Raw genomic sequence first — 15,627 nt, 5'->3', positions numbered from 1 at the left:
TGCTTTTGTTTTCACCTCTGTATTTAAATCTCCCATGATTATTAGCATTCGCAAAGAAGAAAAATAGCACTCACAAAGAAGAAAAATGCATAACAGTAGGAGTGCATTTTCTACTAAGGAGTCCATCATAACTAACTAAATGACATAATTATAAGTTTGGAACCTCTGAGCCATGAGTTTTAGCACTATAAGCCAAATTTCATAACAATACTAGCCAATACATTATTTTAAAAAATACTTTAGAGCTACACTGATAAACTGATAAAAGCAACTATTTAACTTTGCCTCCTAAATCTTTTTGTATTCCTGATATTTCAATATTATAAAGACAGACTAAATCTATTATTACCACCTTAATGAGTAATGTGAATTGTAGAGCAACTAACTTGAAAGGCATATCACATCTCTGGGTCTCAGCTTATTCATCTGAAAACAACTGTAATATTGAAGTACACAATTTCTACAGCCCCTTTGAGATAATATATTTTAAATATATTTGATTTCCAAAAGATGTATGACATGTCATATATCTATCTAATTATTATCTGGACAATTTGTGTTTATTCCTCTGAAATCTGTCTTATGTATTAATAATTGATTTTCTATCTTATGAATTACTCTGCCATGTAAACACTTGTGCCATGTAAACACGTGTTCTTCTAACAGTAACAAGCTAGTCATCCCTTAGTTTAATGAGCATGCAATCTAATTCATCTTCTAAGTTTTGACACAAATATTAAATAATACTGACGGAGACTTTCCCACCCCTTGAAAAATAAAACTCAAGATTTTTCCCCAGGCTGATTATGGCACATTGATTTCTACCTATCTCTGAATCAATAGACAAGGGAGAGAAAAATACACAAATCAAGCTATGAATACATTAGTTGTAACTCCATTGTCAGTGAACCAAATGGAAGAAGTTAGCCATGTGGTAGCAGGATGTTTTTAAAGCATACTTGCAGATACTAAAAATATTGGAATAGTTCAATTTCCATAAAGAGTAGAAAATCTGTTGCATCAAAAACCAGAAGAATATTATTCAGACAACTAAATGTTAAATGAAGTACATTCTAAAAAAATGGTTATTTTCCATGTGATCCCGTTTCTTTTTTTTTTTTGGAAATTGTGAAGGGAATACTCTTCTGTGATCTATGAAAATGGTTAGAATACTAATAATTATTATAAATTTAAATTTCAAATGCAGATCAAGTTGTTTATAGTTAGTTAGAAATACTTTTATAATTTTCTAACCCTCTGGGCTATACAAGAGGAATGGATTTTTTTTTCGTTTAAGAAATAATTTAAAACTTAAAAGAGTGACATGATTTAATCTGTACATAAGGCAAAATGAGACTTCTGAATGTTAATTTTAGTACCCAGAACAGAATATAACAGCATTATGCAACAATTGTACATGCTCTTGGGCAATTTATCATTTTTAGTATGAAATGCTATACAAAAAAGTATATGAGGGGAAGCACTATAAAGTAGGTTAATGTTTGGAAAAATGCAAATAACTTTAAAAGTACAGATTAAATTTTTACCACTAAAAACCTAAATATTCCTAAGCAAAACAAATGCTCAGATTTATCTGATCTACTTGACTTTGAAAAGTAAATATGAGATATCATTTTTGGTATATTCTCATTTTTGTAAATAGAATGTTCAGGATAAACATGATTTTTACTGATTAATAATCATATCTTTTTCTTAAAAAGTTGATTAGGCCATTTTGTTTTCCCAAAAAGCTTTTAGCAAAATATCTATTTAAGTTACTCTTAATAGGTCTCAATTTTTAATTGAAGTTCTATTTATAAACCTCATACCCAATATATGAGTCTGTATCACAAACATACACACACACATGCATGCACACACAAAGTGCATAGGTGTGCATATGCACTTACAAGTAAGCGTGTGTGTGTGTGCAAAAACACTTCAAAGTCTTGGCAAACACTTAAAAGTCTTATTTCAGAACATTTGGGTACTGGTAAAAATTGACAGTCATCTGAGTTCATTCAAACCAGTCAACAACTACAATCATTTATTATGATTGTGGAAAAAATCTAAAGCTATCAGATCATTACATCATTACCATTTGTGGTTTTATTGTTGTTAATTGCACAAAACAGGTACTCAATAATAATATTGACTCAGGTAAGTGATAATGTTAACAGTTATGATCTAGTCAAAATTTTACTAAACAAGTCAAAGAGGTATAAATTTGACACTTTGCTATAATGGATTTTTAGTTCCTTAATTACACAATATTTACTCATTAAAAATATACCAATGATAATTATTATATGAGTCTACAATAAATTATGCTGAGGAAATTATTAATCAAAAAGTGTAGCATTTTAGGGGGAACCAGCCAAAATGTATTCATTCATACCCAAAGGCTTATTTAAAGCCTACTTGTTACTTTTGGTGCTGAGTTTTTAGAATAGAATAATAATAATAACAGAACTGGAATCTTGCTTTCATAGCACTTATTTTCTAGGGAAGAAAGAGAAAGTTAAATAAACTCATAAAGAAATCAATACAGAAAATTCCAATTGTTTGTTTAAAATGTATTAAAGGAATTAAATAATCTAAGAAAGAAAAATTCAGATAATGCAAATCCCAAGATAAGATGAGTAAAGGCCAATTTGAAGAGAGGAGATTTGAGCTGAGATGAGAAAGAAGTAATGCTATTTTTTTTATATATATATATATATGTGTGTGTGTGTGTGTGTATGTGTATATATATATGTATATATGTATATATATGTGTATATATGTATATATGTGTATATATATGTATATATATGTGTATATATGTATATATGTGTATATATATGTATATATATGTGTATATATATACATATATGAGTTATGAGAGGACATGAATTTTATATATATATCTATATATATATATACACACACACATATATACATACATACACAAACATATTCTGGGCTAGAGATACACATTAAAGAATAGCAGAATAGAGGACATACATAAAACTATGAAGCCAGATTAGATTACCAGTAAGAATAGAAAGGAGGAAAAGAAGGACTGGAATCAAGCTCTCAAGCAAAATTAAAATGCTGACAAGGAGTAGCCAGTGCATTAAGAGAAAATAAATACAGTGCATTAAGAGAAAATAAATAAGAAGATATAGAGGTACAAAAACTGAGAGAGGAGAGTATTTTGAGGAAGAGATCAGGGTCATAATTTTAGTGTACTTCTAAGAAATCAAGTGAATGAGGACAAAGAAGTGTTCAACAAATTTCATGGCAGAGATTCATTAAGGACCTTAAGAAATTTAGGGAATATGGAGGAGGCAGACATCAGAGAGCACAAGTAGGTATGATTTCCTACTCATTTAGAAATGTCTGGAGATATTTTTGATTGTTACAATCGGGAGAGTACTTCTGGTATCAAGTGGGTAGGGCCAGAAATGCTGCTTAACACACTACAATGGATAGGATAACACACTACAAAGTATCCTGAGCAAAATGTTGGCAGCAGTGAAATTGAGAAACCCTTCACCACAATGTCAGCATCTCCAGCCAAGCTTTCAGTAGATAGTTATCATGTCATATTATGTAATAATAAGCCTGTAAAACAAAATGATTCTAAGGTGAATCACCAATGTAGTTATTTTATTGGTGTTTTAACATTTCTTTTTTTCCCCTCACTTACTCAGTCTCTTTTGCTTGCTCCTGTTCTTCACCCCTCTTAATAATGAAATACCCCAGGCTCAGCCCTTAGTCCTCTACTCTCTTCCCTTACTTCCTTGTTGAGCTCACATAGTTTCATGGTTTAACATATATCGACATGCTAACATAATTGATATCATCCCCTGTCCAACTGCTTACTTTGTTTTTCTTTTGTATCTAAAACAAAACCTTGAAACTAGCATGCCCCAAAATAAACTTCACATTGTATCCCCCAAATCCACCTTTGTAATCTCATTTAACGACAACTCTATTTTTCACATGTTTAAAATAAGCATCTTGGAGTCATTAGTTGTTGCTGATTCCTTTCCTTCTGTCATAACTCATAAATCAGGCAGTCTTGTTGAATACACCTTCAAGGTATGTCCAAGAGTTGGCTACTTTATATTAGCTTTGCTGAATCATTAGTTGTTGCTGATTCCTTTCCTTCTGTCATAACTCATAAATCAGGCAGTCTTGTTGAATACACCTTCAAGGTATGTCCAAGAGTTGGCTACTTTATGTTAGCTTTGCTGAAGGCACCTAGGTTTGAGCCAGGCATCTTTCTTTTGAATTGGTTCAGTAGCCTCCTAACTTCTCTCCTTGCTGCACTTTTCACTCACAACCCAGCAGTCAGAATGCCAAAAAGTGAAAACGATTCCTTATACTGTTTCCTCAAAGTCCACAGTTCCCTTAATAGACAATCAATTTGTTCTGTACCATGCAAATATTTTTGTATAAATTTACATGCTGGTACATCTAGAGCATTTTTAGAAGCTTAAGCTATAATTGTCATAAAATAAGCTCTACATATTCAAATATACACAGCATATACAATTTCACAAGTTCTGACCATCATCGCAATCAAACTAATGAACGTGTCTATGACCTCCAACTCTTTCCATATGGTCATCTAATTCCCTCAGTAATCTATTCCCCCAGACCCTGCCCACTTCTCTCCCATCACCAGGCAACTACTGATTTGTTTTCTTCCTTGTAGATTAGTTTGCTCTTTCTAGAATTTTATGTATATAGTAAGTACCCTTTTTTCTCTGTCCCCTTTCACCCAGCACAATGATTGTGAGATTCATCCATATTGTTGCATATATCAATAAGGCATTCTTTCTTTGGCTGTTACGTGGATATACCATCATTTGATTAGCTATTTACCTATTTATGAACCTACATACTTGTATGTCACTAGGGTTTTTTCAATATGTAGTAGAATCTTACCATAAAAAGTCATTTCTGCTGTTTACTTTGTTCACTAAACAAGTTTTGAGACCTTACCGTGTCAGCTAATTTTACCTATGCCATTTTTTAATGATTGCACTCATAGTATGTATATAACATCCTTCATTTCAATATTTATATTTTGAGATACATAATTCGTTTGATTTTTGTCTTGTTATTGCAAATAATGTCTTAGCGGTCATCTTCAAGTATAAGGGTAACAAAGCCTGTATTAGATAGTCCAGGCATTTTATGAAGTGAAAATGCGAGATTAAAGAGTATTCGCACTTAATTTTGAATAAGTACTTTCAGATTGCCTTCATAAAGGCTACTTTTAAAAAATGATCAGCAATATATGAATTTGAATTTTTCCTAATGCTATTGCCAAAACCGGCATCAAAATACTAATAAACTTTTGCCAATTGTTTTTGATGTGTATTTTCTATACTGTGAAGTTTGAACATATTTTCTCATGTTTTATTAAACATTCAAAATTCTGCTTCTTCCAAGGGTCTTATTTTGATCTATGCTTATTTTTTTCCTTAAAATGTTTCATTTTCCATAAGATCTTATTATGCACTATTTATATACTGTAAATACTGAGCTTTTGTAAGATATACACCCCACACACAAAAAAAATTCCTTCAAATGAATTTGCTTTGTTTCTGATGGTTTTTGCTATATAGAAGATTTACTTCTTATGTAGTCAGATCTGACTGTCTTTTCCTTCAGTGTTTCTGGACATCACATCATATTTAGGAAAGTCTTTTATCCAGCACATGCACACATTTTCTATTCTTTCTTTTAATACTTTTACTTTTAAATATTTATGTTTCTGATGTATCTGAATGCATTTATGTGTATATGGTTTGATGTAGAGATTTAACTTCCACCCTAAATATTAGTCTTTCATTTCTCTGGTGATTGAGTAGGGATTTCTATTGTTCTGTGGCACTAAACTCTCAAAACGTATACGTGAGTATGGAGTCCCCATCCTATTCTTTGGATCTCTTTGTGGATCTGTGCACCATTAACATATTTTAAAAATGTTCTGTAGCATTATAGCATATCTCTATATATGAACTCCACAGTCATTCATTTAAAAATTATTTGAAAATCTTGCATTTTTTATTTCTAAAATTGTTTTGGAATATTATAAGAATAAACACATTAGAATTAGATTGATGTTGCATTGCATTTCTAGATTAATTTGTGAGAAGTCACATCTATTATGAAATCCCTATGATAGAGATCCTAATAATGAATCATTCTTGTGTCTGAAGGGTTATAGTATGTCATGCATAATTGGCCTTCACTGAATAGTAAATATTTTTATAACCATAGTAAGAAATACATGGTTTTCCTTGAAAGTTTAATTTCAAAGTTTTTTTTTTTTGCTAGTTATATATTGCCTAACAGGAAATGTGAGTATGTATCTTTCTCCCAAACCTTAAAGAATGAAGTTGTTGTATGTACTATGAAAGTTGAAAGAATAATTATAAATTATATGTGGCAAAATGAATTCACAAATAAATAGTTATATAATACTTACATAGCCTCACCAGCATCTGCTATTTTTTTGATGTTTTAATAATAGCCATTCTAACTTGTGAGAGATGGGATCTCGTCGTGGTTTTTTAGATTCCATATTTTGTCCACCTTTGTCTTAGAAAAACCTCGATTTAACTTTCCCTCTCTTCTCCCTGGAGTTCATTAAGTTAGTCTCCTCTGGTTTTGTCTATCCACCCCAGACCCAAGCCATTCTCCACACCATAGCCAAAATATTCTTAAAACATTAACCTGATCATCGTATGTCCCTAAGTAAATTATTCTGCTGGATATCCTTTAAAAAACCATTGGTTTACAAGCCTCTTAGTCATTTTCAGCCTCATCTCCCATCACACCTCTCCCATTTTCTTACATAGCTATAAACAAGCACATATATATCCCCAGACACAACGTTTTGTTCCAGCCATACATAGGCCATATTTCGCTACCAAGAATGCAACTTTTTATCTTCCCTTCAAAGTCATTTACATGCTATTTTTTTCTGTCTTCCTTAATTTTGCTAATTAACCAAAGCTCTTTTATTAAAAAGACACTACTTATATTATTATTATACTTATTATCACCTGGAGAATGGTCTTGATCTTGTTGAAGCATCAGAGATCTCATCCCACATAATGTGTTTTTAGGTCTTCCAAAGGCTCTGTTGTCATTTGAAGGGACATGCTCAAAGAAAGACTGAAGAATGTTAATTTTATGCCTAGAAAGTAGCCTACAAGGTGACCCCTTTATTTTTCTAGGTTCTGTTTAGACTTGGAAATTTTATTGTCAGTTTAAGGAGTAATAAAATGCTAGAAAATTATAATGAAGCTGGCAAGAAAATGATCTACGAAACTCAGCATTTCCTATATTTACCTAGCACGTGTGTGCACACACACGTATTCATAATCTGAATGAATTTGATGGATGAGAGACACTGAGATATAAGAACACAATTTATTTTGTGTATATCATATAGATCATTCATATATACATGCACATCTGCTTCAAAGACTAAAATTCCTGTTGATCCACAAGGAACTTACCTAATGATTCTGGAAACACACTGTCATTTGCTTCTCTTAACTTTTCTATGTGTTTGTTACTGTCTTCATCCTCTTTCTGATAGATACATAATTTCTTTATTAAATTCAATTCCTTTTGGTTGCAAAATGATTATATAAAGAAGTTATGTAGGTAAGATGATTGAAATAGGTTAGGTATAAACATTGGGAACACTGGTGATAGACACAAACTGAACACATGTAATTAAATGAGGGTGCAGCAGGTAGTTGGCTCTTCTATTCTGGAATGTTAGCCTGGTTTCGATATACCAAACCGTGTAGGCTTAATTTTCAAGAAAAAAAACAAAACTTTGGATATGTAATGTGACATGTTAATTTTAAAAGTTAGAATCTACTTATTTTTTTTTTTAATTTTAACTTAAATTTACTCCTCAACCAATCGTTTTGACAGGTTTACTCTCAGGTAACCCTGAATTATTTCTCGAATGTTATGCATGTTTAAATTGTAATTGTCAGAGGTATCCTACTTCCTTATTTCCTTATTTCACATATGTGAATGACCTGGAAATAAGGAAGGAGAATAATATCGGAATTAGCACCCCAAGCACCAACAAATTATTCACTCACTAACTAATGCCTAAAAATGAGCAATTACCATAGATATGTATTTAAGGCTATATGAAATGCACACTTACCCAGAATGGATAATATTTCAAACTGTTATACAATTTACTGTTTAGGAGCTAGACATGTTCAAAGACCATCTAATCCAAAGTCTTTATTTTATACACCTTATAATATACAGAGAAACTAGGACTAGGATTTAAATCAGTTCTTCTGATTCCAAATTCAGTGTGTTTTATAATCATCTGTGATATCTTTGTTTTTCTGATAGTGTGAATAAAGCTTTAGAGAGCCAGTCTTTCTTTTTATGGAGGACCGAGGTGAATCAGGAATAAAAGGTTAAAGAACACTGAAGAGGCTTAAAAAAAAAAGAGTAACAAAATCACATATATTATTGAGTCTTTAATTCAAAGACAAATTTGGTCTTTTTCAACAACTGAGAATTATGTCTGAAGTTTCTTTTTCGTCTAATAGAAGTTTATTCCAAGTTGACATGGTCCTAATGTAGATCATTGCAGCCTTAAAATTACTCAGATTGAAATAATCTATTGTTCAGTATAAATCATAAATAGAAGCCAAAGTTTTCATCTCTGCAATAGTTTTTTTTAATCGCGTACACATTCTAGCTCTAAATATAACTTTTTCTTAGTTCACTTAGGATTTCTCCACTGCTGTATGAGCTCCTTGATTGATATATGAAATATTTGGATATTTTAATAACATTACTAAGTCAATAGAATTTAGTAATATTTAGAATTTGTGTAGTCATTATTTTACATCCACTCATTGGAAGTGAATCCGATTCATATTTTGAGGAGCAAAATGTAAATAGTCTTTTCATTTAGTAAAATATCCTACAGAGACACACACGCACACAATTTCTTGACAGTGGTTCTACATCTTTGTTTTAATACAATTCCATTGGGAGATAACTAACTTTAATAAAACAACTCAAATTTTCTATTCTTAGATGTACACCAAGATGAAAAAAATCACAAATAAATATGTGATATCACCTCAATGTATCCTGTGTAAACTAAATTTTCTTAAAGTATATTGCTAACTGTAAGAAATTTGTTAAAACAGACAGCAGTATTTTCATGGCTCAAATGCTTGAACTCCCCTGTCACATGTTTTTCCTTTTTCCTGTTTTAAAACAAATGTCTTCAGTGACTTATATCTTCAGTTTATTGAAGCTGGAATTGTGACAGATACCTTACAATCTACACCTATAAAGGATTAGTAATTTAAACTAGTAACCTCTAATTTTGTTACAATCAAGCTGTCACTTTTTTTGTAAGATGTAAGGGTTTCATTCATTTGACTAATGCATTCCTACAAAGAAGGATGCCTCAGGTCTCAAAACTGGCTGTGTATTTAGAGAGCTTGTTAGAAAAGAAATCGTCTGTCTGAAGAAAGCAGTCAAAATGTGTCTTCCACTCTGTGCAACAAGATGAGAAATGCCCTTTTGTTGTCAGGGAAGCTGCATGCTTCTGCAGTCTCTCAAACAGGACACATTTGATTAGTGTCTCTATTTCATGGGTGTGCCTGTCTAGTGAGCTAGCCAATGGGGCAAGTGAAATTTTTATATTTTCTTCTCTCCAATCTGGTATGCTTGTTTGTTTTGCTTCATGATTTTTTAAGGCAAGTAGCTTAGCTCTCCTGTTCTGTTTTCCCATGTCAATCTTCATTTCCACTCTCAGAATGTCAGTGTACTTTTCCTGTGTGTTTCCATTTTTTTGTGTTTACCTGATTGATTTTGGTAACTCTCCTTAAATAAATTGTGTGATCATAATATGAAGATCCAACAGGGGTTTCTGCCTTTCATCTTCCAGTGAACATCCATTCAATATCAGACTCCCTTTTATATGGTTAATACTATTCAGAATCCTGGTCAAGATGTGAATGGTAGAGATTATTTCATTCCTGTGAAGCTCAGTACAAAGGGTGATTTCCTAATTTGGCCATAGGTTGAGAGTAGGTTAATATGTTGTCACCTTCTGATAGGGTTGTCTTCTTCCTCCTCTGCTCCTTTCTTCCCTCTTCCTCCTTATTGTCTTTTGTTTTGTTATTCTCTCTTCAGTGTTGAAAATAAATAAGCATTTAGTTTATTGTGAGTCATTGAGGATGAACACCTGGTAACATCTCCACCCTCTGCCATTATTCTCTGAGAATCATCTTGTCATTTATGATATCATAAATTTAGTTTGAATTAATTGCATGTGTCTATTTTTTACCCCATATTCTAACTGCTTTAGTTGTTACTTGAATGACATTAGGGATTCCTTGTTCCAGAAGAAGGAGAATAAATGTATATATTAAATGGCTCTGCAAGTCATCAATATAACTTGTACTTATCATGAAAAGTAAGTTTTTTTTTTCGTTTTTCTAATCCATGTTCTTTACCCTAGAAATGTGACCTAAATTTATCCTTCTACAATTCACCCTTAGTAAAATCTTCACCAGCCTGTTTACTTGAAAAAGTATCACTAAATCAAACTTCTGAATGCTCTATGAACATTAGGAAACTGGGTTATTAATTGGCATCAGTCTAGGTTTAGAAGTCTAAAGTTGAAGGATAATCAGAATTTTTTGAGAATGAATTAAATGAAATGAAAATCCTAAATTCAACAGAAGTGGAACTTGCATGGAATATGACATATTTTACCAGGGATACCATGAGGATTGAAAATAAGGTGTAAACATTTACATCTCACAAACAGAAAATAGATACTTTTTCTATGCTCAATCAGACAAAGGGCATTATAAGTTTTATGTCATAAAGGTTTGTGTCATAAGTGTTAGAAAATTACACATATGCTTCAGCAGGCTTAAAACAGCTTATAATGGTGATTTTTCCCATTGTCTTTCATGTTTGTAGATTTATGATTCACACTGACATGCACATGACATTTGGTGATATATTTACTTTTAAATGATGACAAGTTGAAAATAAAAATACGGTTAGCTTAAATGATACTGGAGCATTTGAAAATGATTTTTTGGTTTGGCTAGGACAAATATTTATATTCTAAACATCTATGAATATTATTTATATGACATTTCTAGAGTATACTGTATTGCGGAGTGCTTTACATTTAATTCAGGTAACTGAGATATCACTGGTTATATGGATAACATTTATTGTTAAAGTTGAGAAATAGGGTAATAAAATTTCATAATTTCAGTTTTAAAGTCCAATAGGTCAAAGAACTGATCATAAACAGCATTGGAAATTGTCTATGGATTCTGTGTTTAATGTAAGCCGTATTTTCCTTGAGATCCCAGTAATCATGCGGCAGACAGTGATTTGCAATTCCTGTTTCTTGGCATCCCGTGTTCTTTTTGAGATGTTCAGTTTCTTTTCTTTTAATCCAAGTCCACTGATTGATAATATTGGTTCCTCCGAACCCACACAAGAAGACTTCATGTGTTAAAAACTCATATTTCCACTGCTTCTCAGGTCTTAAAGATGCTGTTACGTATTGATTACACATCTAGTTGTAATCACCTTCAAATAATTGTTTCTACTCTTGCCATAATACCCCTGGGAATACCTTCTCACTTTTGGTTATGCACAATAAACCTAGCCATGTCAAATTAATTACTACACTAGTTCCTGCTCAAAGTGATCAAGTTAATTGAAGGGCACAGAAAATAAGTTATTTTTCTTGCTGTCCAGTCTCAATGAATTCTGCTACCTTTGTCTCACAGTAATACAGTAAAACAGAATGTTAAGATAATCCAACCTATCAAATGTAAGATAAATAACAGATATTGTGACTTTCCTCAAAAGATGTTAAGATATAGTATTACCCTAAATGTGTCTAGCCATACTAATCATTTTTTCAATTGTAGAACAAAATTATGTGTGGTGAGGATGCAGAGCATCTGAGTTTTTCTCACATTGCTGAAAAGATCGTAAATTGCTACAAACTCTTTGAAAATTTTTTCTAGCAGCATCCTATCAAGCTAAGTGTGCATAAACTTGAAGACACTAATTCTATTCCTTGGTAAATACCCAAAGAAATTGAGTGTTTGTATCCATCAAAAAAAAAAAAAGTACTAAACTATCCATAACTTTAGTTGTAATGGCCTAAGACTGTAACCAAGCCAAGTGGATATTGTCAGAACAGTAAACAAATACTACTGAGCAATGAAAAGATTAAAAATTGATATATACAAAATAAGGATACATTTCATAGTCATGATGTTGAACAAAAGATTTCTGGAATGAAAGACTATGATTCTTTGTTACATTTTACGCCACTAATCTGTGGTGTTAGATATCAGAATTATGGTTACTCTAAGGAAAATATTGACTGCAGGAAGTCACGGGTGAACCTCCTATGGTTCTGGAAATATTTCAGCAGAGTAATGGTTAAACAGGTGCAATCTGGTTAAACTCCAGTGATCTGTACAATTAAGATTCATGCAGATAATACATCTGCAAAGATTGAAAATAGCATTAAATATCTTTTTGACATCTATATAGCAATTAACTCATGACTATGTTCTTACAATTCCCCCATAACTTCAATGTAAAGATACAGAAAACTCCGCTAATTTCCTGTTGAAAATACCGTGGTGTGTTGTTTTGTTTCCTTGTAGTGTCCTGAATTTAAAAGGCCCAGGGACATTGCAGTTGACTGGGTGGCTGGAAACATTTACTGGACTGATCATTCTAGAATGCATTGGTTCAGTTACTACACTACTCACTGGACCAGTCTGAGGTACTCTATCAACGTAGGGCAGCTGAATGGCCCCAACTGCACCAGACTCTTAACAAATATGGCTGGAGAACCCTATGCTATTGCAGTAAATCCTAAAAGAGGGTAGGTTAATGGCTTAGTATTTCTATTTCTTGATAATGAATATCCTTTTTAGAAATTATGCTCTATAGATTTTGTCTCTGTAATGAGTGTTCAATGTGTAATAGTGTCACATGCTTTTAAATATCCTTGTACTATTTCTTCTGTAAAAAAGCATGTCCTATTCATACCAAATGATGATACAAATTTTTTTTCTGAAATATTCCTGTATTATGCATTCAGTATGCCTGTGTGTCTGTATGTGTGTCTGTGCATGGTTATATGTGTGTATTGCAGAATAATGAGCCTGGTGTGATGTTTATAATCTAAAATTGAATTATTAAAATATTAAACGTAATATCAAACACATTACATGTAGAGTACTAACATTTTTCTCTATGGTAATAAAAGATGAAGGTACACACACACACACATATATATATACACATGCACACACACACACAAATTTAAAGAGTGTGTTACAGACATTTCCTTCTTTTAGTTAGAGATGTAAACCTACAGGCAATGGCCAAAAAGGAAATAGAAAAATGTTAACTAAAAATCTTAATCATCTATAAGTGGATTGATAACTCCTGAGTAAAAAGAGACAACTTATACTTAATTATTAGAATTATGCAGTCTTCCAAATTAAAGAATAATTTCTGTTTGGGAAAATAGTTACTTCTCTATAAAAAAAATAGCGTGTTCATACAGCATCCATAATAAAATGACTATTCTGTTAAAACAAAAGGGGAGTTTCATGTGGTGGAAATATTTTTTCTCTGAGTTTTAATGAAATTTTCAAAATTGAATTTTGGATATTAAATAATGAGCTGTAGTACATCATAGTATACAATGATTCTCAAATATTAACGTGTGTAGGCAAGACTTTCTTTAAAATGTTGATTCCCCAGGCCATTTATTGGAGGTTCTCATTCTGTGTGTTTTGAGTTGACTCTTTTTAAGAGACTCTGGGGTGATTCTGAGGCACGTGGTCTGAAGAGCCACTGCTTTGCGGAGCAGAGTCTGGTTATAGCAGCACCATCACCAGGCTAACCTCTCTGACCCGCTCTCTTCAGGATGATGTACTGGACTGTTGTTGGGGATCATTCCCATATAGAAGAAGCAGCCATGGATGGTACACTGAGAAGGATTTTAGTACAAAAGAACTTACAGAGACCCACAGGTATGATTTCTGACACACGCTAAAATATGAAGCAGAATGACAAGTATATTACTGTTAACAGTTATTTCTAGTGTTGTTGGCAATATAAGTATTTTTACAAGTGGATAAAACTATTTAGAGTATGATTTTATGAAGTTATTTACATTTCATTTCCTATTTTCTCAACTTGAAAATCAGGTCCTTATACTGTCAGTTACATTACAGGAATATTATTTGAAACTTGCCTAAGTTGTAAGGCTATTAGTCGGATTTCACAGGCATGAAATTTTGACAGTTTATAGCAATACATATACATTAGGGTATTTTTACAGATATATGTTAATGGAGTTGGGATATTTGGAAATATTCCTAGAGAATGAGAGATGAAATGAACAAATAGGTGGCTAAATATAAATACCTTATGTAAAAGACAGGTTTGGTGTTTTTTTTTTTGTTTTGTTTTGTTTTGTTTTTTTTGCCTTTTCATTCAGAGCTCTTTTCAATATGGCTTTAATCTCCCTGGCCACCTTGCCATCTAAGCTACTACTCCAAAGCATCTGTGTTCTCAGGACTGCCCAGAAGTTCAGATCTTTTCTGTCTTCATGATCTTTCTCCCATGCCATTTTTCTCCCAGCTCCCCCATCTGGAATGTCCTTCCAACCTTTGTCTACCTAGTTATATCTTTCCCATCTTGTACATCTAACTTTGGCACTTCTTCAGTAAAACATTTTCAGACTACAGGAGCCTCAAGGGCTCTGTGCCACCTACCCTCCACCGACTATACCTCCACAGAAAGGACATAATGCATTGTTCGTAGTACATATTATTTAATAATTATGCATTGTAATATCTTTTGTAGTTTAAACTATTTATATTTAGTGCTTATATTCTTATTAATCTTTAATGTGTTTTATACCTTTCCATTCATTTAGATTGTTTTTACTCTTTATGGGGAGAAGCAATATTTGAAATTTAGTCTATTTACATAAATCTGTTTTCATCCCATGCTTTAACAAATATGCCCATTGAATGTCTACCATGTGCCAGAAATTGTTCCAAATGCTGAAGAAACAATGTGAAGCAAGTTCTAACCCTCATGAAATCTATCTTCCTATAGAGGATAGAATATGTATTTATATATACTGTCACATTGTTATACATGCTATACAGAAAAGCAAAGTAAGAGATGGGCTGTCAATGGAGGTACTATTTTAGTTATGATCAGAGAAGTTATCTGTAGCAGGGGGATATTGAAAGAGAGACCTGACTAAAGAGAGGCAGCAAGTGAAGTGAATATGAGGAAAGAGTTTTTTAAGAAAATAGAATAGTACGTTCTGAGTAAGGAATTAGCTTAGCATGAAAACAGAAAGAAGGTGAGTATGCCCAGAAGCATAGAAACAATTCAAGAGAATGGAAGATATGAGGATGGTAAGGTGACTCAAATGCAAAACTGGATTCTATTCTAGCTTTGAAGAGAGCTATTTGAAGAATACGGCAAGGTAAGTGGCATAATCTC

The 15,627-nt window shown here is 32.4% G+C and overlaps 1 protein-coding gene across 3 annotated transcripts in view; it reads left to right on the top strand.

Annotated features, from left to right (window-relative positions):
* Nucleotides 1-15,627, top strand: part of LRP1B (LDL receptor related protein 1B) — a 1,899,594-nt gene that overhangs the window by 1,782,432 nt on the left and 101,535 nt on the right. For all 3 annotated transcript variants that reach the window (NM_018557.3, XM_017004341.2, XM_017004342.1), the window contains 2 exons: nt 12,747-12,970; nt 14,026-14,132. In NM_018557.3, coding sequence (NP_061027.2) covers nt 12,747-12,970; nt 14,026-14,132 — 331 coding nt within the window. The remainder of the gene's footprint in view (nt 1-12,746; nt 12,971-14,025; nt 14,133-15,627) is intronic.

Source organism: Homo sapiens, chromosome 2 (genome assembly GCF_000001405.40).
Source record: "Homo sapiens chromosome 2, GRCh38.p14 Primary Assembly".
NCBI classification, from domain to species: domain Eukaryota; kingdom Metazoa; phylum Chordata; class Mammalia; order Primates; family Hominidae; genus Homo; species Homo sapiens.
This window is presented reverse-complemented; position numbering and strand designations above follow the sequence as displayed.